The sequence below is a fragment of the Homo sapiens genome, chromosome 8, assembly GCF_000001405.40.
Source record: "Homo sapiens chromosome 8, GRCh38.p14 Primary Assembly".
NCBI classification, from domain to species: Eukaryota; Metazoa; Chordata; class Mammalia; order Primates; family Hominidae; genus Homo; species Homo sapiens.
In genome coordinates this window covers 143611636-143635862 of record NC_000008.11, presented here as the reverse complement: position 1 = coordinate 143635862, position 24227 = coordinate 143611636, and the positions used below count along the sequence as shown (strand labels likewise).

Below are 24227 nucleotides of genomic sequence, written 5' to 3'. Positions count from 1 at the left end.
TTGCGGGCCGGGAAGCGCGGGCTCGGAAACTCGGGTCTGGAGCTCGCGGCGAGGTCCGACCGCAGCCCAAGACCAGCTTCTCAGGAGGCGAGGATCCAGGGGAAGTAAATACCGTGAGGGCCAAACTTCACCTCTCTGCGCCCCAGAGAAGTGGGGAAGCGGCGCGCTGTGGAGTTTTTTGGTTTTCGGGTTTTGGTTTTTTTAAGACAGGGTCTCGCTCTGTCGCCCAGGCTGCAGTGCAGTGGCGCGATCTCGGCTCACTGCAGCCCCGACCTCCCGGGCTCAGGTGGTCCTCCCATCTCGGCCTCCCAAAGTGCTGGGACCAGAGGCGCGCGCCACCGCGCCGGCTCATTGATTCTTGGTAGACATTACTCATTGCTAGAATGAGTCACAGTCCGAAATAATCGAAATAATTACATTCCCCTGCCCCCCCCCCCCACCAAAAAAACATTATATTCGTATTTTGGGTTTTCTTTTTCCATTTTTCTGCTAGCACTGAGGAAACTTGTTTACCTAAATTGTTAGATAGGATTGGGAGGAATTTTGTTTTAGCAATGACGCTCAATTTATTTTTATTTTTATTTTTTGAGATGGACTCTCGCTCTGTCACCAGGCTGGAGTGCTGGAATGCAGTGGCGTGATCTCTGCTCACTGCAACCTATGGCTCCCTGATTCAAGCGATTCTCCTGCCTCGGCCTCTGGAGTAGCTGGGATTACAGGCATGCGCCACCACGCACAGCTAATTTTTGTATTTTTAGTAGAGACAGAGTTTCACCTTGTTGGCCAGGATGGTCTTGATCTCCTGACCTCGTGATCCACCCGCCTTGGCCTCCCAAAGTGCTGGGATTACAGGCGTGAACCGCTGTTCCCAGCCGACGCTCAATTTCTTTAGCTCTTTCTGACTTATATGCAAAAAACATAACAGCAGTTTATCACCAAGTGTACTTAATGACCTGTCAGTTGACCACTTGAATAGGTCCTTTTTAAATTTTGACAGAAGCAAACAAAGAATTAGAAGTAACCTAAAGTGCAAAACTACATGAAGTCTTTCCCAGCCAATAAATTCACCTACTTTCTTAAAATCAACTGCAGAGTTTTGAATTGTCCCTTTGATGAGGAGGACAGCCCAGGTACCAAGGCCAGGTACCAGGGTGAATAAAGGAAGAGAAGCAACGTGGGAGAAGGAGCTGTGGCCAAGGGGGACACGCTAGGCGCGTGCCCTCATCCAAGGACCTTCTACAGGAATTCCAGGGCAGAATCCATGTGGAACTCCTGCTGTGATTCTCCAGGGGCTCCCCGGCTCTTGGAAAGGCTTCTGTGTTCCAGGGGTGTGTGTGAAAGCCCTACATTGAGCGACCCCACCTCTCATCCAGGCCCGGAGACCTTGGCTGCTGCAACCCTATTGCCAGCTTACCATGGGACCCAGCTCTTAAGGCGAGAAGGGCTTGAGGCCTCTTCCCCACAGGGCTTACAGACCTTTCAGCCTCCCTGTCCGCAGGCCCAAAGAGCTTGAGAACACCGCCTGAGCAGGTTGTCACAGATCAAAATCTGCCTTGTACACCTGACGCCTGCCACTTCAACCCCACCAACAGCTAACACATGGCTGCAGCTTGGCACTTAATACTTTTTTTTTTTTTTTTTTTTTGAGACAGAGTCTCTCTCTGTCACCCAGGCTGGAGTGCAGTGGCGCGATCTCGGCTCACTGCAAGCTCTGCCTCCCGGGTTTATGCCATTCTCCTGCCTCAGCCTCCCGAGTAGCTGGGACTACAGGCACCCGCCACCACGCCCGGCTAATTTTTTGTTTTTTAGTGGAGACAGGGTTTCACCATGTTAGCCAGGATGTTCTCGATCTCCTGACCTCGTGATCCACCCGCCTCGGCCTTCCAAAGTGCTGGGATTACAGGCCTGAGCCACCATGCCCGGCTGGCACTTAATACTTTGAGTTTACTTGTTTGGTACTGATTGTCCCTGCCAGTAGAAAGGAAGCTCCGTAAGGTCAGGGACCCCCGTCTCGTTCCATGTCTAGCCCAGTGCCTGGCCCATGTGGACCTCAGCAACTGTGGTGGATGCTGCGATGAGAGGCCCCGGGAGACCCCTCCAGTGACAGGCTGGGTGTCCCAGTTGTTCAGGGTGTGGTAAGCGGCCTTCAGCCATCAGCTGCAACTCGCCAGGGTCACACCCTTCCCTGGGACAGCCCACATTGCAAAGTCCTGGACATCCTGGTCCAACCGAGGACAGCCCTGAGGACCACTTCTGTGGCAGAGCTCCCTGTGGGGGACCAGTAGCCGCTGTGCTTGATGGCATCACAGCCCCACTCCTGCCTCTTGTGTCTTCCCCTCCACAGGTCCAACATCACTCCGTGAAAGTCTGCTCCCCACCTAGGAGCCCCCTCGAGCCACAGCAGCCTTGCCAGGTGACTTCTAATATTATCTCCATTTTATAGATGAGGAAACAGAAATAGGGAAACCAAATGGCTCACCTAAGGTATCAGCCAGGACATGCTGGAGGAGGCCTCAGATGTAGCCATCTGCCTCCAAAGCCCTTGACCTAGAGCAAGTACAATGCCAAAACCAAGGAGTGTGGCTGGAAGGCAAAAGGCCCGAGGGGAGGCTGCCATGCAAGATGAGGCTGGCGCTGTTGCCATAACCAGAGCTCAAGAAAGGAAAGCTGTCCAAAGAAACTGCATTCAGCCAGAAAGGGAATTTATAGGGATTTGAGGGGACGGAGCCATTCTGAAGACAAAGCAGAAATTCTGATAAAAGATCCCAAAACATAGTTTCAAGCTATCTGGGATGTGGGGTTTAGGAAAACAGGCCATGGGTGGTCTTGGTACGGGAGCAAGCACAAAACTGTCTGGGAAATGTCCCTGAGGAAGGCCACTGTGTCTTCGGGCCATGAGCAGAGCTTTCCTGCTTTGGGCGAATGGAGTCTGGGGACAAGTTGATGACAATGGAGGGCTGAAGACAGCTTGGGAATTAGTCTTTCCGAGATAACTACTGGGTGGGGCAGATTGTGTGGTCCCGGTCCAAGCCACACAGGAAGCCCACACTGGCTTCTGAGCAGGAGTGTAACAAAAGCCAGATGACACTGGAAAGACACGTTGGCTGCGTGGTGACCACAGAGGACAGGGTGAGGACGGTGGCAATGGCAGCCACACAGCAGAGCACCTGGGGTGAGACTGGACCGAGCCAGGAAGAGGCAGGGACTGGCTCTGAAGGCCGAGGGAGGGTTCACAGGAGGGTGGGGAGTGGGCAGGAAGCTGACATCCATGGTGACGCAGGGTGGGGCAGGTGGGAGAAAGGTGAAAGAAGAACAGAAGGTCACTTTGGGATGTAAGTTTGAGACCTTGCTGCTAAGTGAGGCCAAAAAATTAAAAGATTTTTAAAATCTGCTGGTAGCTGGAGAAGGACCCGAGACGTGCAGATGGGAGTTGTGGCAGTAGTGGCCATCTTGAGGGACAGACACCGGGAGAAAACGAGTGATGCGTGCAAGGAGGGGCATCGCTGAGCCCACACAAGACTCAAGATGGATGAGACAGAGGCGGCCTCAGGTGCCTGCAGGTGGAGAGAGAAGGTAGGGGTGGCCTGGAGGCAGGTCTCTTCTGAGTATCACAAAGCACATCCAAAAGTAAATGATGCCGGGTGTGGTGGCTCTCGCCTGTAATCCCAGCACTTTGGGAGGCTGAGGTGGGTGGATCAGCTGGACCAACATGATGAAACCTCGTCTCTACTAAAAATACAAAAATTAGCTGGGTGTGGTGGCACGCGCCTGTAATCCCAGCTACTTGGGAGGCTGAGGTAGGATAATTGCTTGAACCTGGAAGGTGGAGGTTGCAGTGAGCCAAGATCATGCCATTGCACTACAGCCTGGGCAACAAGAGTGGAACTCTGTCTCTAAAAAAGAAAAAAAGAAAATGAGGTAGGAGGTGGAGCTCAACTCCGGAGGCAGGGCTTGGACATGGGACCAAACTGAGGACTAGCTAAAACAGGTCCAGGGCAGAAGAGCCTCCTGTAAGGCACACCCACCAGTGTGCCATATCAGTTTACCATTGCCATGGCAACACCGGAAGCTACCGCCTCTTTCCATGGCAACAAACAGACAATGCAGAACTTACCAAGCTAATTCTAGAAATTTCTTTTTTTTTTTTTTTTTTTTTGAGACAGGTTCTCACTCTGTTGCCCAGGCTGGAGTGCAATGGCGTGATCTCGGCTCACTGCAGCCTCTGCCCCCAGGGTTCAAGTGATTCTCCTGCCTCAGCTTCCTAAGTAGTGGGACCACAGGCGTGCGCTACCACACCTGGTTAATATTTGTATTTTTAGTAGAGATGGGTTTCACCATGTTGGTCAGGCTGGTCTCGAACCCCTGACCTCAGGTGATCTGCCTGCCTTGGCCTCCCAAAGTGCTGGGATTACAGGCATGAGCCACCTCACCTGGCCTAATTCTAGAAATTTCTGCATAAGCTACCCCTTAATTTGCATATGATTAAAAGTGGATATACATGTGACTGCAGAAGTGCCTCTGAGCTGCTTCCCTGGGCTCACTGCCTATGGGGTAGCCCTGTCTGCAAGGAGCAGTCCCTCTGCTGCTGCTGTACACGCCACTTCAATCAAAGGTGCTTTGAACACCATAGGCTCGCTCTTGAATTCTTTCCTGGGCAAAGCCAAGAACCCTCGTGGGCTAAGCCACAATTTTGGGGCTCGCCTGCCCTTCATCAAAAATATTTTTTTAAAAGATCTCTGGCCGGGTGCGGTGGCTCACACCTGTAATCCTAGCACTTTGGGAGGCTGAGGTGGGCGGATCACCTGAGGTCAGGAGTTCAAGACCAGCCTGGCTAACATGGTGAAACCCCATCTCTTCTAAAAATACAAAATTAGCTGGGTGTGGTGGCGCGCGCCTATAATCCCAGCTACTTGGGAGGCTGGGGCAGGAGAATCGCTTGAACCCAGGAGGCAGAGGTTGCAGTGAGACAAGATCACACCATTGCACTCCAGCCTGGGCAACAGAGTGAGACTCCATATCCAAAAAAAAAAAAAAAAAAAAAACTCTATGGTTAAAAGTCAGCTTAACTGAAAGCTGAGGTTCAAGCTCCTCCCTCCTCTGCTGTCTTGGTATCACAAGATGTCCAGTGTCTCAGACCCCTTAAGGAACACAGAAAAAGGTGGCACTCACACCCTTTTGGGTCGTCCTGTGGAGGCTGAAGAGTCATGGACAGGGTCCTCTCAGGTCTAAAACTCTGCTCTCTTTGTATTGTATCACCTGATCTCTTTGGCTTTGGGGGGCACCAGAGATTACTTTGTTTTTTGTTTTTTGTTTTTTTTATTTATTTATTTTTTTTATTTTTTATTTTTTGAGATGGAGTCTGGCTCTGTTGCCCAGGCTAGAGTGCAATGGCACGGTCTCAGCTCACTGCACCCTCCACCTCCCGGGTTCAAGCGATTCTCCCACCTCAGTCTCCTGAGTAGCTGGGATTACAGGCAACCACGACCACGCCAGGCTACTTTTTGTATTTTTGTAGAGACGGGGTTTCACCATGTTAGCCAGGCTGGTCTTGAACTCCTGACCTCAGTTGATCCACCAGCCTCGACCTCCCAAAGTGCTAGGATTACAGCTGTGAACCACTGCACCTGGCCACCAGAGATTACTTTGTACTGTGAGACACTATGTGCTTTTGCGTGTGTGATGGCTAGTTAGTCATAGGTGAGAGCTGCAGTTTTGGAGGTGGCTGACAGCAGTGGTCTGCAGTGAGTGTTAATTACACAGGGGGCTGTGCAGTTTTGGAGGTGGCCAACAGCAGTGGTTCACAGTGAGTGTGTGTGTGTGTGTGTGTGTGTGTGTGTGTGTGTTGTTTTGTTTTGTTTGAGACGGAGTCTCGCTGTGTCGCCCAGGCTGGAGTGCAGTGGCACGATCTCAGCTCACTGCAACCTCTGCCTCAGGTTCAAGCAATTCTCCTGTCTCAGCCTCCCGAGTAACTGGGACTACAGGCACCCACCACCACGCCAGCTAATTTTTGTATTTTTATTAGAGACGGGGTTTCACCATATTGGTCAGGCTGGTCTCGAACTCCTGACCTCAGGTGATCTACCAGTCTCGGCCTCCCAAAGTGCTGGGATTACAGGCATGAGCCACTGCACCTGGCGTCTCGTTCCGTTGCCCAGGCTGGAGTGCAGTAGTGTGATCTTGGCTCACTGCAACCTCCGCCTCCCAGGTTCAAGCAATTCTCCTACCTCAGTCTCCGGAGAAGCTAGGATTACAGGCGCCTTCCACCATACCCGGCTAATTTTGTTATATTTTTGGTAGAGGCTGGGTTTCACCATGTTGCCCAGGGTGGTCTCGAACTCCTGACCTTGTGAACCACCCACCTCAGCCTCCCAAAGTGTTGGGATTACAGGCATGAGCCACCACACCTGGCCAATTTTTTTTCTTTTACATAGGAGAATTTTGTGTGGTCAAAATAATGGGGGAAGGAAAACAATTTTGGTCCTAGTACAGAATGCCAATATAAAAAGGAAGTATAGGCTAAAACTGGAGGGGTAGTGAGTTGTGCAAGGTTTGTGGAAGATGAATCTTGTGGAAAGAATTTTCTGGCTGGGCTCAGTGGCTCACACCTGTAATCCCAGCACTTTGGGAGGCCAAGGTGGGAGGACTGCTTGAGCTCAGGACTTCAAGATAAGCCTGGGCAACATAGCAAGACCTCATCTCTACTAAAAATCCAAAGAATTAGCCAGGTGTGGTGGCACATACCTGTAGTCCTAGCTACTCAAAAGGCTGCGGCGGGAGGATTGCTTGAACCTAGGAGTACAAGGCTGCAGTGAGCCACGTTCACGCCACTGTACTCCAGCCTGGGCGACAGAGTGAGCCACGTTCACGCCACTGTACTCCAGCCTGGGCGACAGAGTGAGCCACGTTCACACCACTGTACTCCAGCCTGGGCGACAGAGTGAGCCACGTTCACGCCACTGTACTCCAGCCTGGGCGACAGAGTGAGCCACCTTCACGCCACTGTACTCCAGCCTGGGCGACAGAGTGAGCCACGTTCACGCCACTGTACTCCAGCCTGGGCGACAGAGTGAGCCACGTTCACGCCACTGTACTCCAGCCTGGGCGACACAGTGAGCCACGTTCACGCCACTGTACTCCAGCCTGGGCGACACAGTGAGCCACGTTCACGCCACTGTACTCCAGCCTGGGCGACACAGTGAGCCACGTTCACGCCACTGTACTCCAGCCTGGGCCACAGAGTGAGACCTTGTCCCAAAAAAAATAAGACGCCAACATGGGTGAAACCCCTTATCTACTAAAAATACAAAAATTAGCCGGGCATGATGGTGCACCCTGTAATCCCAGCTACTCGGGAGGCTGAGACAAGAGAATCGCTTGAACCTGAGAGGCGGAGATTACAGTGAGCTGAGATCGCGCCACTGCACTCCAGCCTGGCGACAGAGCAAGACTCCATCTCAAAAAAAGAAAAGAAAAGAAAAGAAAAAAGTGTGTGTGATCAAGATGGCTAAAATTAGAAGGGGATCATTTAGTTTTACTAAAAATTGAGCATTAATATACAAAGCACACAGATGCAGAGCCAGAGTCTGGGCCCTGTGTTGGAATAACAGAGTTTTCCTGGAGCATTGATCCGCTCTTTAATAGAAAGTTGTAAAAGGTTATAAAATGTTTTTGGAAATCTTATCTTCTGTGATAAAAACTGAAATCGGATAGATATGTTTATAAAGTTATATTAAAATTAACTTTAGGGGCCGGGCACGATAGCTCACACCTGTAATCCCAGCACTTTGGGAGGCCAAGGTGGGCGGATCACCTGAGGTCAGGAGTTCGAGACCAGCCTGGCCAACATGGTGAAACCCTGTCTCTACTAAAAATACAAAAATTAGCCAGGCATTAAGGCAGGCACATGTAATCCCAGCTACTCGGGAGGCTGAGGCAGGAGAATCACTTGAACCCAGGAGGTGGAGGTTGCAGTGAGCCGCGATCATGCCACTGCACTCCAGCTTGAGTGACAGAGTAAGACTCTGTCTCAAAAAAAAAAAAAATTAACTTTAGTATTAGTAGTATACTGATGCAAAGATAAAAATTGGTTTTCTCTTTAGAGAAAGATTATTGGAGGTATTAATAAGAAATCATTTAAAATGGTTTACCTTTGGAGTAAAAAAACAGAGGGACTGGGCACAGAGGCTCACGCCTGTAATCCCAGCACCTTGGGAGGCCAAGGCAGGCAGATCACTTGAGGTCAGGAGTTTGAGACCAGCCTGGCCAACATGGTGAAGCCCTGTCTCTACTAAAAATACAAAAATTAGCTGGGCATGGTGCCAGGGCCTGCAATCCCAGCTACTTGGGAAGCTGAGGCAGGAGAATTGCTTGAACCCAGGAGGCAGAGGTTGCAGTGAGCCGAGATGGTGCCACTGCACTCCAGCCTCGGCCACAGAGAGAGACTCCATCTCAAAAACAAAAAAGTTAATTAATTAAATTAAAATTTAAAAATACAAAAAATGCCATGTAATACATCGACTCTCCTGAAGTTGCCTACATCCCCCTGCATCTCCCCTGTGCTGAGAGTGTCAGAGCTTCTAGATCTCCCTGGGTTTAGTGTAGATATTTACTTTTCTTTCCTGGGATGGCCCTGTGCATGGAAGATATTTGTCCACCTTTTCTCCTGTTCATCTGCCTGTGGTCAATTGATCCACAGGCTCAGGTATCAAATGCTCAGAGGGTGGAGGGGAAGTTCTCCGTCCCCGTCAGGGCACTCATCTGCACAGGCAGGATGTGTACGCAGGCCTGCAGACACCTCGTGGGGCTGCCCCAGCTAATTGCCACAAAACAACGCAAGGTTATTGTCCTGTGGTTCTAGAAGCTAGACGTTCAAAATCAGGGTGTCTGTAGCACTGTGCTCCCTCCAAAGGATCTAGAGAGGAATCTTTGCAGCCTCTTCCCGATTCTGGTGATGGCCGGCAATCCTTGGCACTCTCTGGCTGTAGCGGCATCTCTCCAACAGCTGCCTCTATCATCACGGAGCCGTCTTCTCCCTGTGTCCAGATTTCCTCTCTTTATAAGAATATCGGACCGGGCGCAGTGGCTCAAGCCTGTAATCCCAGCACTTTGGGAGGCCGAGGCGGGCGGATCACGAGGTCAGGAGATGGAGACCATCCTGGCTAAAACGGTGAAACCCTGTCTCTAGTAAAAATACAAAAAAAATTAGCCGGGCGAGATGGCAGGTGCCTGTAGTCCCAGCTACTCAGGAGGCTGAGGCAGGAGAATGGCGTGAACCCCGGGGGGCGGAGCCTGCAGTGAGCCGAGATCATGCCACTGCACTCCAGCCTAGGCGACAGCGAGACTCCGTCTCAAAAAAAAAAAAAAAAAAAAAGAATATCGGGCCGGGCACAGTGGCTTACGCCTGTAATCCCAGCACTTTGGGAGGCCGAGGCGGGCGGATCACCTGAGATCGGGAGTTCAAGACCAGCCTGACCAATATGGAGAAACCCCATCTCTACTAAAAATACAAAAAATTAGCCGGGCGTGGCGGCGCATGCCTGTAATCCCAGCACTTTGGGAGGCCAAGGCAGGAGGATTGCCTGAGCTCAGGAGTTTGAGACCAGCCTGGGCAACACGGTGAAACTCCATCTCTACTAAAATACAAAAAGTTAGCCGGGCGTGGCAGCATGCTCCTGTAATCCCAGCTACACTGGAGGCTGAGGCAGGAGAATTGCTTGAACCCGGGAGGTGGAGGTTGCACTGAGCCAAGATCGCGTCATTGCATTCCAGTCAGGGCGACAGAGAGACTCTGTCTCAAAAACAAAAAAAAAAAAGGCCAGGCGTGGTGGCTCATGCTTGTAATCCCAGCACTTTGGGAGGCCAAGGCAGGCAGATCATGAGGTCAGGAGATCAAGACCATCCTGGCTACAGTGAAACCCCGTTTCTACTAGAACTACAAAAAATTAGCCGGGCGTGGTGGCAGGCACCTATAGTCCCAGCTACTCGGGAAGCTGAGGCAGGAGAATGGCGTGAACCTGGGAGGTGGAGGTTGCAGTGAGCCAAGATGGCACCAGTGCACTCCAGCCTGGGCGACAGAGGTAGACTCTGTCTCAGAAAAAAAAAAAAAAAATCAGTCACTGGATTTGGGCCCACCCTACCTCCATATGACCTCATGTTAACTTGATGACATCTGCAAAGACCCCATTCCCAAAAAGGTCACCTTCACCAGTAAGTTGGGGGTTAGGAGTTGAATATAGCTTTTTGGTTGATGTAATTCAACCCACAGCACTGCCTTTTTCATTCCATGTTATGTTTTTTGAGATTTTTGAGATTTGCCAATATATGAAGCTATAAATTATCAGTGAAAATAAATAATTCAAAATCTAAGCTGTTGAAACTCTAAATTATTTTAAGCCTTAAAAGAATGATTATGAGACAAGGCCCGGTGGCTCATGCCTGTAATCCCAGCACTTTGAGAGGCTGATGGGGGTGGATCACTTGAGGTTAGGGGTTCAAGACCAGGCTGGCCAACGTGGTGAAACCCTGTCTCTACTAAAAATACAAAAATTAGCTGGGTGTGGTGGTGTGTGCCTCTAGTCCCAGCTACTTGGGAGGGTGAGGCAGGAGAATTGTTTGAACCTGGGGGGCAGAGGTTGCAGTGAGCTGAGATCACGCCATTGCACTCCAGCCTGGGCGACAGAGCAAGACTCCATCTCAAAAAAAAAAAAAAAGAATGCTTATAGACCTGAGTCATGTGACAGACAGTTGTATGTAACCTAGGCAACTAGAACCTTTTTTTTCTCTGATTTTAGATTAAGCCTTCTTCCTTGCATGCATTGTTTCGTAAAAGGCTGTAAATGGCTGAAGGGTACCAGGGAAGAGCCCTTGCCTCTCCAATGTTGACTTTCACTGTAGATTAACCTCCTTCTCAGCTGCCTCACACAAAGGCTTTATGGCTCTCAAGTTGTATTAAGATGGAATGTTAAATATACTCTTTTAAGTTAGAAAGGAAATGAAAACATGCTGTAGGGAAAAGAAAACACACTGAAACCAACTAATTAATTTGTCGTACCTCTTAAACCAGCCTTGTATAGAAAATTTTGTAATCCAGGTAAACGTCTTTGTTTTCTGTCTCTAATAAGCAAGAACTTAACTTTTAACTTTGGAACTGATATGGTTTGGCTGTGTCCCCACCCAAATCTCATCTGGAATTCCCACGTGTTGTAGGAGGAACCTGGTAGGAAGGTAATTGAATCTCAGGGGCAGGTCTTTCCTGTGCTGTTCTCGTGATAGTGAGTATGGCTCACAGGATCTGATGGTTATATAAAGGGGAGTTTCCCTGCACAAGCTCTCTTGCCTGCCACCATATGAGACATGCCTTTCACCTTCCATCATGATTGTGAGGCCTCCCCAGCCACATGGAACTCTAAGTCCAATAAACCTCTTTCTTTTGTAAATTGCCCAGTCTTGGGTATGTCTTTATCAGCAGTGTGAAAGCAGACTAATACAGGAACATTGAACCCATTTCTCTGCAGTCAGTGTCTCCTAGGTAGCTATTCCCAGCTTTTTGCCTGAATAAACTCTTTAAAACTAATTCTGGGTTGGGCATGGTGGGTCAGTCCTGTAATTCCAGCACTTTGGAAGGCCAAGGCAGGAAGACTGCTTGAGTCCAGGAGTTTGAGGCCAGCCTAGGCAAAATAGGGAGAACTCGGCCGGGCGCAGTGGCTCACGCCTGTAATCCCAGCACTTTGGGAGGCCAAGGCGGGCAGATCATGAGGTCAGGAGATCGAGACCATCCTGGCTAACACGGTGAAACCCCGTCTCTACTAAAAATACAAAAATTAGCCAGACACGGTGGCGGGCATCTGTAGTCCCAGCTACTCGGGAGGCTGAGGCAGGAGAATGGTGCGAACCCGGGAGGCGGAGCTTGCAGTGAGTCGAGATAGTGCCACTGCACTCCAGCCTGGGCGCTAGAGTGAGACTCCGTCTCAAAAAAAAAAAAAAAAATAGGGAGACCTCATCTTTACAAAAAAATGCAAGAATTAGCTGGGTGTGGTGGTGCACACCCCTAGTTCCAGCTACTCAGGAGGCCAAGGTAGAAGGATTGCTTGGACCCAGGAGGCCAAAGATTCAGTGAGCCATGATTGGCCACTGCACTCCAGTGGGCAGTTGAATTTTTGTTTTGTTTTGTTTTGTTCTGGGACAGGGTCTAGCAATAGAGCAAGACCCTGCCTCAAAACAAAATAATACAAAACTGATTCTGGGCCAGGCGCAGTGGCTCACGCCTATAATCCCAGCGCTTTGGGAGGCCGAGGCAGGCAGACCACCTGAGGTCAGGAGTTTGAGACCAACCTGACCAACATGGAGAAACCCATCTCTACAAAAAAAAAAAAAAAAAAAAAAATTAGCCATGTTGGTGCATGTCTGTAATCCCAGCTACTCAGGTGGCTGAGGCAGGAGAATCACTTGAACCCAGGAGGCAGAGGTTGCGGTGAGCCGAGAGCACGCCATTGAACTCCAGCCTGGGCAGCAAGAGCGAAACTCCATCTCAAAACAAAACGACACAAAAAAACTGATTCTAACCTTTTGATTACTTCAGGCTGACATATCCATTTTCACAGAAAAATAGTTTCTGGTATCAACATCACTTATCCATCCATTCTCCTGTCCAGGCCGTCAGTGCTGTCTGCATCTTTTTGCTTTACTGCAGGGCTGCTGTGGAATTCCTGCGCCGTCTCCCAGTGCACACACAGGACACCCTCTCTGGTAGACTCTGGGAGCGTCGCTGCTGTGCAGACAGGGATCGGCCTGCGACTCTGCGAGGGGGACCTCCTGTCTCGTAGTGTCTGTGCCACCTGTAGCTCTGCGTCCTCACCAACCCTAGGCACCATCTGATGGTTAAATGGGCCAATCTGATGGATATAAAATGCTCTTTTTGTGGTTTTAGGGTTTTTTTACTCCCCTCTCCCTCTCTTTGTGGTTTTAATTTGTATTTCCGCCGGACATAGTGGTTCACACCTGTCATCCCAGCACTTTGAGAGTTAATTAATTAACTTCCTTCACCATATTGGCCAGGCTGGTCTTGAACTCCTGACCTCGTGATCCGCCCGCCTCAGCCTCCCAAAGTGCTGGGATTACAGGCGTGAGCCACCGCACCTGGCCGATTGGGTTTTTTTGTTTGATTTGAGACAGGGCCTCACTCTGTCGCCCAGGCTGGAGTGCAGTGGTGTAATCATAGCTCACTGCAGCCTCGACCTCCTGGGCTCAAGTGATCCTCCCACCTCAGCCTCCCAGGTAGCTGGACCCACAGGCATGCAGCACCATATCCAGCTAATTTTTTTTTTTGAAACGGAGTCCCACTCTGTTGCCCCTGCTGGAGTGCAGTGGCACAACCTCAGCTCACTGCAACCTCTACCTCCCGGGTTCAAGCAATTCTCATGCCTCAGCCTCCTGAGTAGCTGGGATTACAGGCGCCCCTCACCATGCCTGGCTAATTTTTTTTTTGTATTTTTAGTAGAGACAGGGTTTTACCATGTTGGCCAGGATGGTCTCGAACCCCTGACCTCAGGTGATCTGCCCACCTCAGCCTCCCAAAATGCTGGGATTACAAGGGTTAGCCACCGTGCCTGGCCTCTGGCTAATTTTTTATTTTTTGTAGAGACGGGGTCTCACTATGTTGGCCAGGCTTGTCTCAAACTTCTGGCCTCAAGGGTGATACCTCCACCTCGCAAAGCACTGTGATTACAGGCGTGAATTACTGGCCTGGTACATTGTTTTAATTTGTTACTAAGAGATGTGGATTCAACTGCACATCTGAGACCAGTGATATTCCTTATAAGAGGGATCCCCAACCCCCAGGCTATGGACCAGTTCCGGTCTGTGGCCTGTTAGGAACTGGGCCACATAGCAGGAGGTGAGGCCAGGCGAGTGAGCATTTCAGCTTGAACTCTCCCTCCTCTGGTATCAGTGTGGCATCAGATTCTCATCGGAGCACCAACCCTATTGTGAACTGTGCAGACAAGGGATCTAGGTTGTGCGCTCCTTATGAGAATCCAATGCCTGAGGATCTGAGGTGGAACAGTTTCGTCCTGAAACCACCCCCGCCCTGGTCCATGGAAAAATTGTCTTCCACAAAACCAATCCCCGGTGCCAAAAAGGCTGTGGACCGCTGCCTTAAAACAATTCAAAATTACAAATGCTATTATTATCTCTTCTTTTTCTTAAGAGAAAAGTTCTCACTCCGTCCCCAGGCTAGAGTGCCGTGGCACAATCACAGCTCACTACAGCTTCAAACTCCTGGGCTCAAGGGATCCTCCTGCTTTAGCCTCCCAAAGATGCTGGGATTGTAGGCATGAGCCACCGCGCCCGGCCCAATATTTCTTAAGTTCGCCCAAAGATGGAACATCTTGAAGAAATCTGGATCCGTTTTGACCTTGAACCCTTCCCTGCTTGGACACAGAATAGGAATAGTGACATGTCAAAAGCATCAGATACGATGTAGACAGGATTTGAGAAGCTCTGAGAGAGAAGGGAAATGGTGTAGGATACCCAGATGAATACCTAATTGTCTTTCATGGGAAACAAAATTAATTTTGAATGTTCACTGCCACAGCTATTTGATATGAACTGTAGGTCATTAATAATGTTAGAGAAAGCTCACCAAAACCCAAGCAGAAAGACTGACAAATTCACTTTCGAAAGGATTTTAAAACACATTTCTTTAATTTTAGAGAAAATATTTTTCTAAATTGAAAAAGCTGCACATGAAATACACAAGAGTGGCATACCAATAAAATAGGGGAAATTGGCACAAAAATGTTTGTATGACTATGAAGGAGAAAATTCTCACATAAATAATCCTAAGGTAATTTTAGCATAAAGGATTTTCTGACTGTTAGAGATTAAGGTATAGGGCCAATCAAAGAGAGATGTGAACAGACAGACTATCTTCCTGCTCTTTTTCTTTTTGTTTACAATACTCCAGCACTGGGAAGCCTGAAGGAGCATGAGAAAGACTGTTGCTGTAAGACACGGCGCTATCTATGGCCTGAATATTTGTTATCTGTTGAAATCCTAACCCCGAAGGTGATGGTATGAGGAGGTGAGGACTTTGGGATGGGATGACTGCTCTCATAAAGGAGGCTAGAGAAAGGCTCCTGGCCCTTTCCAGCAGGCGAGGACACAGATGCCATCTTGAACCAGGAAGTGGCCACACCAGACACGGAATCTGCCAGCACCTGGTTCCTGCACTTCCCAACCTCCAGATCTGTGAGAAATAAATTTCTGTTGTTTACAGCCATCCACTCTGTGCTTCAGAGACCTGAACAGACTAAGACAGATGGTGAGCAGCGCTCTATAAAGGTGGTGATTATAAAGTGAAATTAAACATTATATATAAAAATCCATGACTGGCTGGGTGCAGTGGTTCACACCTGTAATCCCAACACTTTCGGAGGCTGAAGCAAGCGGATCACCCGAGATCAGGAGTTCAAAACCAGCCTGGCCAACATGGCGAAACCCTGTCTCTAATAAAAATACAAAAATTAGCCAAGTGTAGTGGCGGGCGCCTGTAATCCCATCTACTCAGGGAAGCTGAGGCACGAGAATCGCTTGAACCTGGGAGGCGGAGGTTACAGTGAGCCAAGATCACGCCACTGCACTGCAGCCTGGGCAACAGAGCAAGACTCCATCTCAAAAAAAAAAAAAAAATCCACGACTAATTTCTGAATCTAAGAAATGGAGGCCAGGCGTGGTGGCTCATGCCTGTAATCCCAGCACTTTGGGAGGCCGAGGCAGGCGGATCACAAGGTCAGGAGATCGAGACCATCCTGGCTAAGAGGGTGAAACCCCGTCTCTACTAAAAATACAAAAATTAGCTGGGCGTGGTGGCACGCACCTGTAGTCCCAGCTACTCGGGAGGCTGAGGCATGAGAATTGCTTGAATCTGGGAGGCAGAGGTTGCAGTGAGCCGAGATCACACCACTGTACTCCAGCCTGGGCGAGAGAGCGAGACTCCATCTCAAAAAAAACAAAAAAAGAAATTTTGGATTTCTTTGATAATTTCAGTTTCTACTGCCTCAACAGAAAAAAGTCTCCAAATTGAATCTTTTTTTTTTTTTTTTTGAGACGGAGTCTTGCTCTGTCACCCAGGCTGGAGTGCAGTGGCACGATCTCAGCGCAGTCACCTCTGCCTCCCTAGTTCAAGCGATTCTCCTGCCTCAGCCTCCCGAGTAGCTGGAATTACAGGCATGCACCACCACACCCAGCTAATTTTGTATTTTTAGTAGAGACGGGGTTTCTCCATGTTGGTCAGGCTGGTCTCGAACTCCCGACCTCAGGTGATCTGCCCACCTCGGCCTCCCAAAGTGCTGGGATTACAGGTGTGAGCCACCACACCCAGCCGAACCAATTTTTAAAAAGAAGAGTACAAGCCGAGTGCAATGGCTCATGCCTGTAATCTCAGAGGTTTGGGAGGCCAAGGCAGGAGGAATGCTTGAATTTGAGTGATCAGGACAGGAATTTGAGACCAGCCTGGGCAACACAGCAAGACTCCATCTCTGAAAACAAAAAAGAAGTACAATGACTTAAGAAAGATTGTGTAGTTCGACACTATGGTCAACAGAATACAAATTATGTGACTTTAATATCATAATTAGTAACTGCTGAAATGAAGAAAACTAAATTTTTATGGAAGAAATATATAACAATTTAGAAACTGTGAAGTCTTTTTTTTTTTTGAGATGGAGTCTCGCTCTGTCGCCCAGGCTGGAGTGCAGTGGCGCGATCTCGGCTCACTGCAAGCTCCGCCTCCCGGGTTCAGGCCATTCTCCTGCCTCAGCCTCCGGAGTAGCTGGGACTACGGGCGCCCCCCACCATGCCGGGCTAATTTTTTTGTTTTTTTTTAGTAGAGACAGGGTTTCACCGTGTTAGCCAGGATGGTCTCGATCTCCTGACCTCGTGATCCGCCTGCCTCGGCCTCCCAAAGTGCTGGGATTACAGGCGTGAGCCACTGCGCCCGGCCTAAAATTGTGAAATCTTTATTAAGCAACGCTGCCTGCCCATCACCAGAGCAGGTGGACATACCCAGCAGCGACTCACTTCAGTCATCTCTAATGTTTTGCTAACTTCCAGTCAGATAAAAGCCATCGCCTTACGGATGTCTTTAAACGTTATCATCATGAAACGTCCTTTCATAGCAAGATGTTAAGGTGGTGGGGGCGGACCACATTTCCCTTACCCTTGTCAGCCTGAGTGACTGTTTTTATTTTATTTATTTGAGATGGAGTCTCGCTCTGTCGTCCAGGCTGGGGTGCGGTGGCGCCACCTGGGCTCACTGCAACCTCTGCCTCCTGGGGTCAAGCGATTCTCCTGCCTCAGCCTCCCAAGTAGCTGGGATTACAGGCGCGCGCAACTACCCCCGACTAATTTTTCATTTTTATTAGATACCGGATTTCACCATGTTTTGCCAGGCTGGTCTCGAACTCCTGACCTCAAATGATCCGCCCGCCTCGGCCTCCCAAAGTGCTGGGATCACAGGCCTGAGCCACCGCGCATGGCCGTGACTGCTTTTAAACGCCTTTCGATGGAAGACGATGACGGTGGCCTCTCGATGTCAGGGCCGCGCTGCCACCCCCTCCCGCCCCAGGCAGCAGGACTGGGCTCTGAGCTGAGGGCAGGAGCAGCTGGCGGCTCGCAGCGCGACCGTGGGAACCACTGTGAGCCGCCGCGACCCTCCTTGACTCGCCGTGACCCATCGTGATCCGATGTGATCCTTCTTAACCCGCCGTGACCCGCTGTCACCCACAGTCACCCAACGTGATTCGCCGTAACTCTGGTGTTGTTTGCTGCTTGCTGCCCGAGCCTGGGCGTACCCATGGGCGCGGGTGACAGTGCAAGTGCTTGGGACGACAACCCGGGCTCCTCATCGCGGCCGGAATCCAAGAGGCTGCGGCGCGAGGTCTGCGTATTCGGGGGCGGAACCCTGGGAGGGAAGGGGAGCAAAGGGAGACGCCGCAGCGTAAGCCCGCCTGGCCCCAGCGCCGGCGAGGCTCCTTCCGACGCCGCGGGCATCCCGCGCGGCGCTGCCGGCTGGCCCTCGTCTCGTGTCCTTCCGCCGTCCCAAGCAGGGCCTGGGCCCAGCGCCCCGCGGGCTAAAGAGGTTGCGGCCCGGGACTTCGTCCGGGGACCCGCCCGCGCGCGGCCGGCGGACGAGACTGCGCTTCCCAAGCGGCTTTGCGGCCGCGGACTCCAAGTCCCAGCTGTGCCCGGGACGCTGCGCGCCCCCGGGACTCCATTTCCCAGAGTGCCCCGCCCCAGCCTCCCGGCCCCGCCCCCCACCTGGCTCCGCGGGCAGCCGGAGCGCACCCGGCCGGAAGCCGCTGTCGGGGAGCCGGCGGTGGGGCTGGACGCAGGTGAGGTGGCACCGGACTCAGCCGCGCCCTGGGCCCTGGATGCTCCGTGAGAGTCAGGGAGCGCTGTGGGGGTCTGGGATCGAGGGGCATGGGGGCAGCCTGGGGCTGTGGTAGAGGGTCTGGCTGCGGTGAGGTCTCCCCGCGTGCTTGGGAGCCGCGCGACGCCTGCGCAGGGCCCCCTCCCCTAAGGGCTGGCCCTGGGGCCCTGCCGGGGGAGCCCGAGCAGGTTTCCGGCTCCCAGGATGGGATCCTTGAGGGTGGCTGCGCCCCGAGGCCTGTCCTGCCCTGGAGGAATCTGGCTCGCCAGGGCTCTCCAGGACCAGCCAGCCTCGAGTGGGCGTGGGCTGCACACAGGCGCCGTCTCGTGCCTGTCCCTAGCATGCGGGCTTTAGCTGCGAACCGTGTTAACGACCTGTGCCAGGAGCCCCCGTCCCAAGGTTGTCTGCCTCCCCTCTTGTCAGTCAGAGGGGAGTAGAATGTACCTTTTCTCGGCCTAGTGGGGAGTCGTGGGTTGGGACCAGCTGCTCTGGGCTGGGTGGTAGCTCAGGACCCCTGCGGCGCTGTAGGCTGAGAGCTCCCAGGGGAACAGGGCTGCGACGAGGGAGTGCCTCGGTCCAGCTGGGTCTTTCTGGTTGCCAGTGGACTATGCCCCACTCTGAGGGCCTCACTCTGTGCCAGTTGCCACAGAAGAGTGGGGCTCCAAAGGATGAGAGCGTGATGACCTCAGCCTCCCACTGTTTGACATTACAGGTGCAACTGACATGGGTGAACCCCAGGGATCCATGCGGATTCTAGTGACAGGGGGCTCTGGGCTGGTAGGCAAAGCCATCCAGAAGGTGGTAGCAGATGGAGCTGGACTTCCTGGAGAGGACTGGGTGTTTGTCTCCTCTAAAGACGCCGATCTCACGTGAGTGAGCCCATCCCCAGATCAGCCCTTCCTCTCCATCCTACCCCCCACCCTAGAACTAAGAGTTCCAGGCTGGGCATGTTGCTGAGTCTAACAGTAGCTGTGTTTCTGGGTCCTTCCTGCCAGGTGGCTGGCCTGGCCTGGGTGTGCTTGGCTGTGTTCCTGGAAAAACAAACACCCTCCCATCTCTTCCTGGAAGCCTGCACCCTCATATCAGCCAGGCCCTGGGGCCACCCTCCCTTTTGACTGTCCCTCCTGCCATAGTCCCACCCAGTTCCTGCACTTGGCACCCAACCCTGGGGTGCTGGTTCCCTCCAGAGCCTCCTGACAGCCTGGCTTCCTACAGGGATACAGCACAGACCCGCGCCCTGTTTGAGAAGGTCCAACCCACACACGTCATCCATCTTGCTGCAATGGTGGGGGGCCTGTTCCGGAATATCAAATACAATTTGGACTTCTGGGTAAGTGAGGGTGGCCCCAGCAAGCACTGGAAACCAGGATCCCAGGTTCTGGGAACTTCCTGGCGGGCTTCCCACTCTCACAGGCCCACATTCCCACCCCAGGAAGTCCCTGAGGATCAGGGCTTGGCACAGCCTGGTGGGGGCAGCCCCTGAGGGACCCCCAGTCACTCACACTTGGTGCTGTGGACAGAGGGCCATGCAGGGGGCCTGGAGGCACTTGGCCCAGTAGGCAAAGCTGTGGAGCTGACTTGCAGCATTGGGAGGCTGAAAAGAGCCAGCGGCCACGTGGGACTGGGAGCTGGTTCCTGCCCCCTGAGTCCCCAGGGCCTCTGGAGCCTCTGGCTCCCAGGACTGTGCTGGCCCAGCTCCCCTTAGCCGGGCCCACCACACACTCTGGGGTGCAGGGGTGTGAACCGCGCTCTGTGCATCTGCTGCCTGTGTCTGGGGGAAGGGGGCGTGGTGTAAGGGCCCTGCCGTGGCTAGCTGTGTTCCGGAGGGTTGGCCCCACCAGTCACTGGGCAGCAGCCTTGCCTTAGCTGGCTTTGCTAAGCGTAGGAGGCACTAGCGTGAGCAGAGGCTCAGAGGAGATTCTGCCCAGGAGCCCTGTCACCCCAGAGCCCTCTTTGTCGGTGTCTCGGCCTTCCCAGCAGGCTGCCTGGCCACCACCTCTCCCTTCTCCCAAGACCAGTCCCAGGGCTCCAGCCATGCCGTGTCTAGTTCATGCACGGGAAGTGGGGCCCGCGGGGTGGACCCGGCAAGCGCAGGCTCCATTGATCCTGGGAAGTAGAGCCAGGTGGGAGCTCCTCCAGGGTGGGGAAGTAGACCGCCCTGTTCCCCGTGTAGTGGGAGCCCCAGCCCAGCCCAGGGCCAGACTGGGCTCCTTCCCAGCCTCCAGTGGGGTCCTATGCCCTGACCTCAGCAGCCTCCTGGGTGGGGCCCAGCCCTGAGCTGGGGGTGTGGTTCTCCTCATAGTGGAAGGCAGAGCCAGCCCCTCCTCCAGCCTTGGTGGGGCTGGAGAGCAATGGTGTCTGTAAGCCCACTGCCTTGTCCGGAAACGGTTAGGATGGGCAGGCTTGGGTCCTCCCAGGGCTGAAGGGCCAGGGTGTGTCTCCACTTCTGCGTCTGGAGGAGCAGGTAAGGGCTGGGATCTGGCCTGGGGAGCCTGAACTGTCCCCGCCTCACCCCTGCAGAGGAAAAACGTGCACATGAACGACAACGTCCTGCACTCGGCCTTTGAGGTGGGCGCCCGCAAGGTGGTGTCCTGCCTGTCCACCTGTATCTTCCCTGACAAGACGACCTACCCGATAGATGAGACCATGGTGAGGGGCAGGGCCTGGCTGTGGGTGGGGCCGGGGAGCCGGTGGGCAGGGCCAGGAAGTAGCGGCCTCTGCCTCTCCCACGCCCGCAGATCCACAATGGGCCTCCCCACAACAGCAATTTTGGGTACTCGTATGCCAAGAGGATGATCGACGTGCAGAACAGGTCCTCGCGCCCATCCTGCTGAGGCCCAGCCAGGAGTCGGGGAGAGGGCCCCCAGGGGCGGGTGGGGCCGGCTGGTCGGGTCTTCGTGCCAGCCTCAGTAAGAGGCCAGCGGCAGCCTGGGGTGGGATCGCGGGCCCAGGACGAGGGCAGGAGACGCTGTGCCTCCGCAGGGCCTACTTCCAGCAGTACGGCTGCACCTTCACCGCTGTCATCCCCACCAACGTCTTCGGGCCCCACGACAACTTCAACATCGAGGATGGCCACGTGCTGCCTGGCCTCATCCACAAGGTGCACCTGGCCAAGAGTGAGTGCGTCCGTCCGATGGGGTGCCCGGGCTCAGCTCGGGAGGAGGTGACCCAGTGCCTCTGACACCTGCTCCTTCCCCAAATCTGCAGGCAGCGGCTCGGCCCTGACGGTGTGGGGTACAGGGAATCCGCGGAGGCAGTTCATATACTCGCTGGTGCGTAAAGGAAGGCACAGCTCTCCCCAGAGAACCTGCCCTATTGAGCCCTGGGCTGGCCCCTGCTGGGCTGTCGGGGAGGTGGTGCAGGAGGGAGGCTCCTACCAGCAGAGAATCTGGGCTGAGCTCCAAGAGGAGCCATCTCTGGTCCTCGTGGAGGCCCCATAGGCTCCTGTCTCCAGGAGTCACTGGCGTAGCTCTGAGCTCCAAGGGAGAAAGGAGGGACCCCTGTTCCCCAGGCTGAGCCCCCACTGAACAAGGACAGCAGTATGGACTCCCCAGCAGGGGCGTTTGGGAGAGGGTTGGCTATACCCATGGTCTCTGACCCTGCCTGTCTGACCTCTAGGACCTGGCCCAGCTCTTTATCTGGGTCCTGCGGGAGTACAATGAAGTGGAGCCCATCATCCTCTCCGGTGGGTACCTCAGCCCTCAGCCCCCTTCCTCCATGGTAGGACAGGATCCAAGGTTGTCCTGGGAGGCTGGCTGAGGGGTGGGAGCAGGAATATTCATGGGCCGTCGGGTGGCACCAAGGGGAGGCCTGACCCGGTGGCTCCCCACAGTGGGCGAGGAAGATGAGGTCTCCATCAAGGAGGCAGCCGAGGCGGTGGTGGAGGCCATGGACTTCCATGGGGAAGTCACCGTATCCTCTGGCTCCAGTGCTGGGGGTTGGGCGGGGGCCCCTTGGGCGGGCTCAGTGGCCACCCGGTGTAGGGCCAGCGTGGGTGGGACACTGCGGAGGGAGGATGCTCACCCTGGCAGGCGGAGGAGCTCTGCTGTGGCTCCCCTGGGAATGGCAGAGGTTCAAGGGCAAGCTGCGGGGGCTGGGGTGGAGGTGCTCTTCTCGCTGTGGCCTTGACAAAGCCTCCAGTTTGATACAACCAAGTCGGATGGGCAGTTTAAGAAGACAGCCAGTAACAGCAAGCTGAGGACCTACCTGCCCGACTTCCGGTTCACACCCTTCAAGCAGGGTGAGCCCTGACCCCACAGCCCTCCACTTGGTGGAGGCCTGCCCCAGCCCCTCCCTCATGCTCGCTACCAGGGCAGAGGTGAGGTGCCCCCTCAGAGCCTGTACTGCCCTGGAGGTGGGACACCAAAGCTCTGAGGGGTGACTTCCCTGTCCCTGGGCCTCCTCCCCCCACTTCCTCCCATGCGGCCCCGACCCTCCCTGTCCATGGCCCTCACCTGCCTGCCTCTGCAGCGGTGAAGGAGACCTGTGCTTGGTTCACTGACAACTACGAGCAGGCCCGGAAGTGAAGCTGGAAGACAGGATCAGGTGCCAGCGGACCATCGGCTGGCAGAGCCCAGCGGCCACCACCCGTCAACCCTGCCAGGAGCTGAGGGCACCACCCAGCAACCTGGGCCTGCATTCCATCCGCTCTGCAGCCCCAAGCATCTTTCCAGTGGGGCCCCCATTCACGTTGGTCCTCAGGGAAACCAGGGTCCCGGGCAGGCCCGGCGCTTTGCTCCCCACACCAGCCCCCTGCGCGTGTCCACTCTGATCCTGCATCCCACTCCCTGGGAGCCAATAAAGTGCATTTTCACAGGCCTGGCCTTGGCAGCTCTGTGCTGAGCCGTCCCCCACACCCAGGGACTGCCCCCTAGCCTGGCCAGTCCCAGGACCCACTATCCCCCTGGCTTACTGTTCAGCCCCCAAGAGCTGGTGACTCCCTGGGGTGGAAAGGCCGCAGAGGCTGGAGATGGGAAGGCACACGTGGGCAGGCAGCAGGCAGGCAGCAGTGAGACTGGTGTGGACTGTCAGCTGGACAAGGATGTGCAGGGCAGGGCCAGTCCCAGCCCCTCCACATGTGGCCACCTGCAGGCCTGAGTAACTTGAGCTCACCCGGACCTCCCTGCCTCAGCCTGAGGGCTCTGGGGAAGCTGGTCTAGTGGGCCAGAAACGTCTAGTGAGCCAGCCGAGCTGAGCCCATGGATGGATATGAGGGGAGGCTGATGATTGGGTGGCTCGGGCTTCCCCTGGCCTGGCCCCTCCTCTCTGTGGCTCTCAGGCTTGGGCGTGGGTCCCCCACCTGGCCTTATCCCATGGAGAGGGACAGGTGCCTGCTGGACAGGTCAGCTCCAGCCACCAGAGGTGGGGTGTCATTGCTCGCCGCCCCCGTCCATTCTCAGAGGGGAGACAGCAAAGTCCAGAATGGTTCCCGGGCCAGTGCCTCAGCCAGGCAGGGTGGCGCTGGGGTATGGACCAGGAGCACTGGGCTCCAGGCCCCGGCTTGCCCGTCGCCCCCTTTCTCAGTGCCTCTCACAGAGGGAGCCCCTATGCCAGAACCCTCTGGTCCACTGCATCCAGGACCCAGATGCCCTCCCTGGCTCCTGGCCCAACTCTGGGCCCACGTCCTCAGGGTCCCTCTCCTGGGCGCCCTGTGCCGTCTTCACGCACATGATGCCTTTTGGCTGCAGGTAGGACCTGCTGCTTCACTTCTTCGTTCATTCCGGCAGCGGTGATGTGTCCTCCCTGTCCCGGCACTGAGTCCAGACCGGTGTGTCCTGCACCCAGCCAACCGCTCACCTCA

At 53.9% G+C, this 24227-nt stretch overlaps 1 protein-coding gene and 1 long non-coding RNA gene across 13 annotated transcripts, besides 3 other annotated features; both read left to right on the top strand.

Annotated features, from left to right (window-relative positions):
- Positions 1-1958: 1958 nt before the first annotated feature.
- Positions 1959-15277, top strand: LOC105375798 (uncharacterized). Of its 2 annotated transcripts, none has more exons than NR_188083.1 (3): positions 1959-2413; positions 3399-3573; positions 14963-15277. It is a non-coding gene; the product is annotated as an uncharacterized LOC105375798 (long non-coding RNA). The 2 variants fall into 2 exon arrangements; NR_188084.1 differs by lacking the exon at positions 1959-2413 and adding an exon at positions 3080-3129.
- Positions 17533-18137: an enhancer, noted in NCBI's record as "H3K27ac-H3K4me1 hESC enhancer chr8:144699896-144700500 (GRCh37/hg19 assembly coordinates)". NCBI's record gives its function as "activates a minimal SCP1, AML or CMV promoter by ChIP-STARR-seq in primed H9 embryonic stem cells {active_cell/tissue: H9 hESC(primed)}" and the evidence as "EXISTENCE:reporter gene assay evidence [ECO:0000049][PMID:30033119]".
- Positions 17533-18192: a biological region, named in NCBI's record as "H3K27ac-H3K4me1 hESC enhancer GRCh37_chr8:144699896-144700500".
- GFUS (GDP-L-fucose synthase) lies at positions 17815-23245 on the top strand. Of its 11 annotated transcripts, none has more exons than NM_001413408.1 (11): positions 17815-17935; positions 19140-19296; positions 19643-19757; positions 20948-21076; positions 21166-21239; positions 21410-21543; positions 21635-21699; positions 22046-22112; positions 22260-22339; positions 22568-22667; positions 22898-23245. In NM_001413408.1, the coding sequence occupies exons 2-11, from the start codon at positions 19151-19153 to the stop codon at positions 22951-22953; spliced, it is 966 nt and encodes a 321-aa protein (NP_001400337.1). In that variant the 5' UTR covers positions 17815-17935; positions 19140-19150; the 3' UTR covers positions 22954-23245. The 11 variants fall into 11 exon arrangements, 9 of the variants coding, with proteins under 9 accessions (NP_001400337.1, NP_001400339.1, NP_003304.1 ...); NR_182148.1 differs by lacking the exon at positions 17815-17935 and adding an exon at positions 18314-18389 and having other exon boundaries at positions 21639-21699; NM_001413410.1 differs by lacking the exon at positions 17815-17935 and adding an exon at positions 18314-18389 and having other exon boundaries at positions 22906-23245.
- Positions 18013-18192: a silencer, noted in NCBI's record as "silent region_19623". NCBI's record gives its function as "represses an Ori minimal core promoter by ATAC-STARR-seq in GM12878 lymphoblastoid cells {active_cell/tissue: GM12878}" and the evidence as "EXISTENCE:reporter gene assay evidence [ECO:0000049][PMID:35858748]".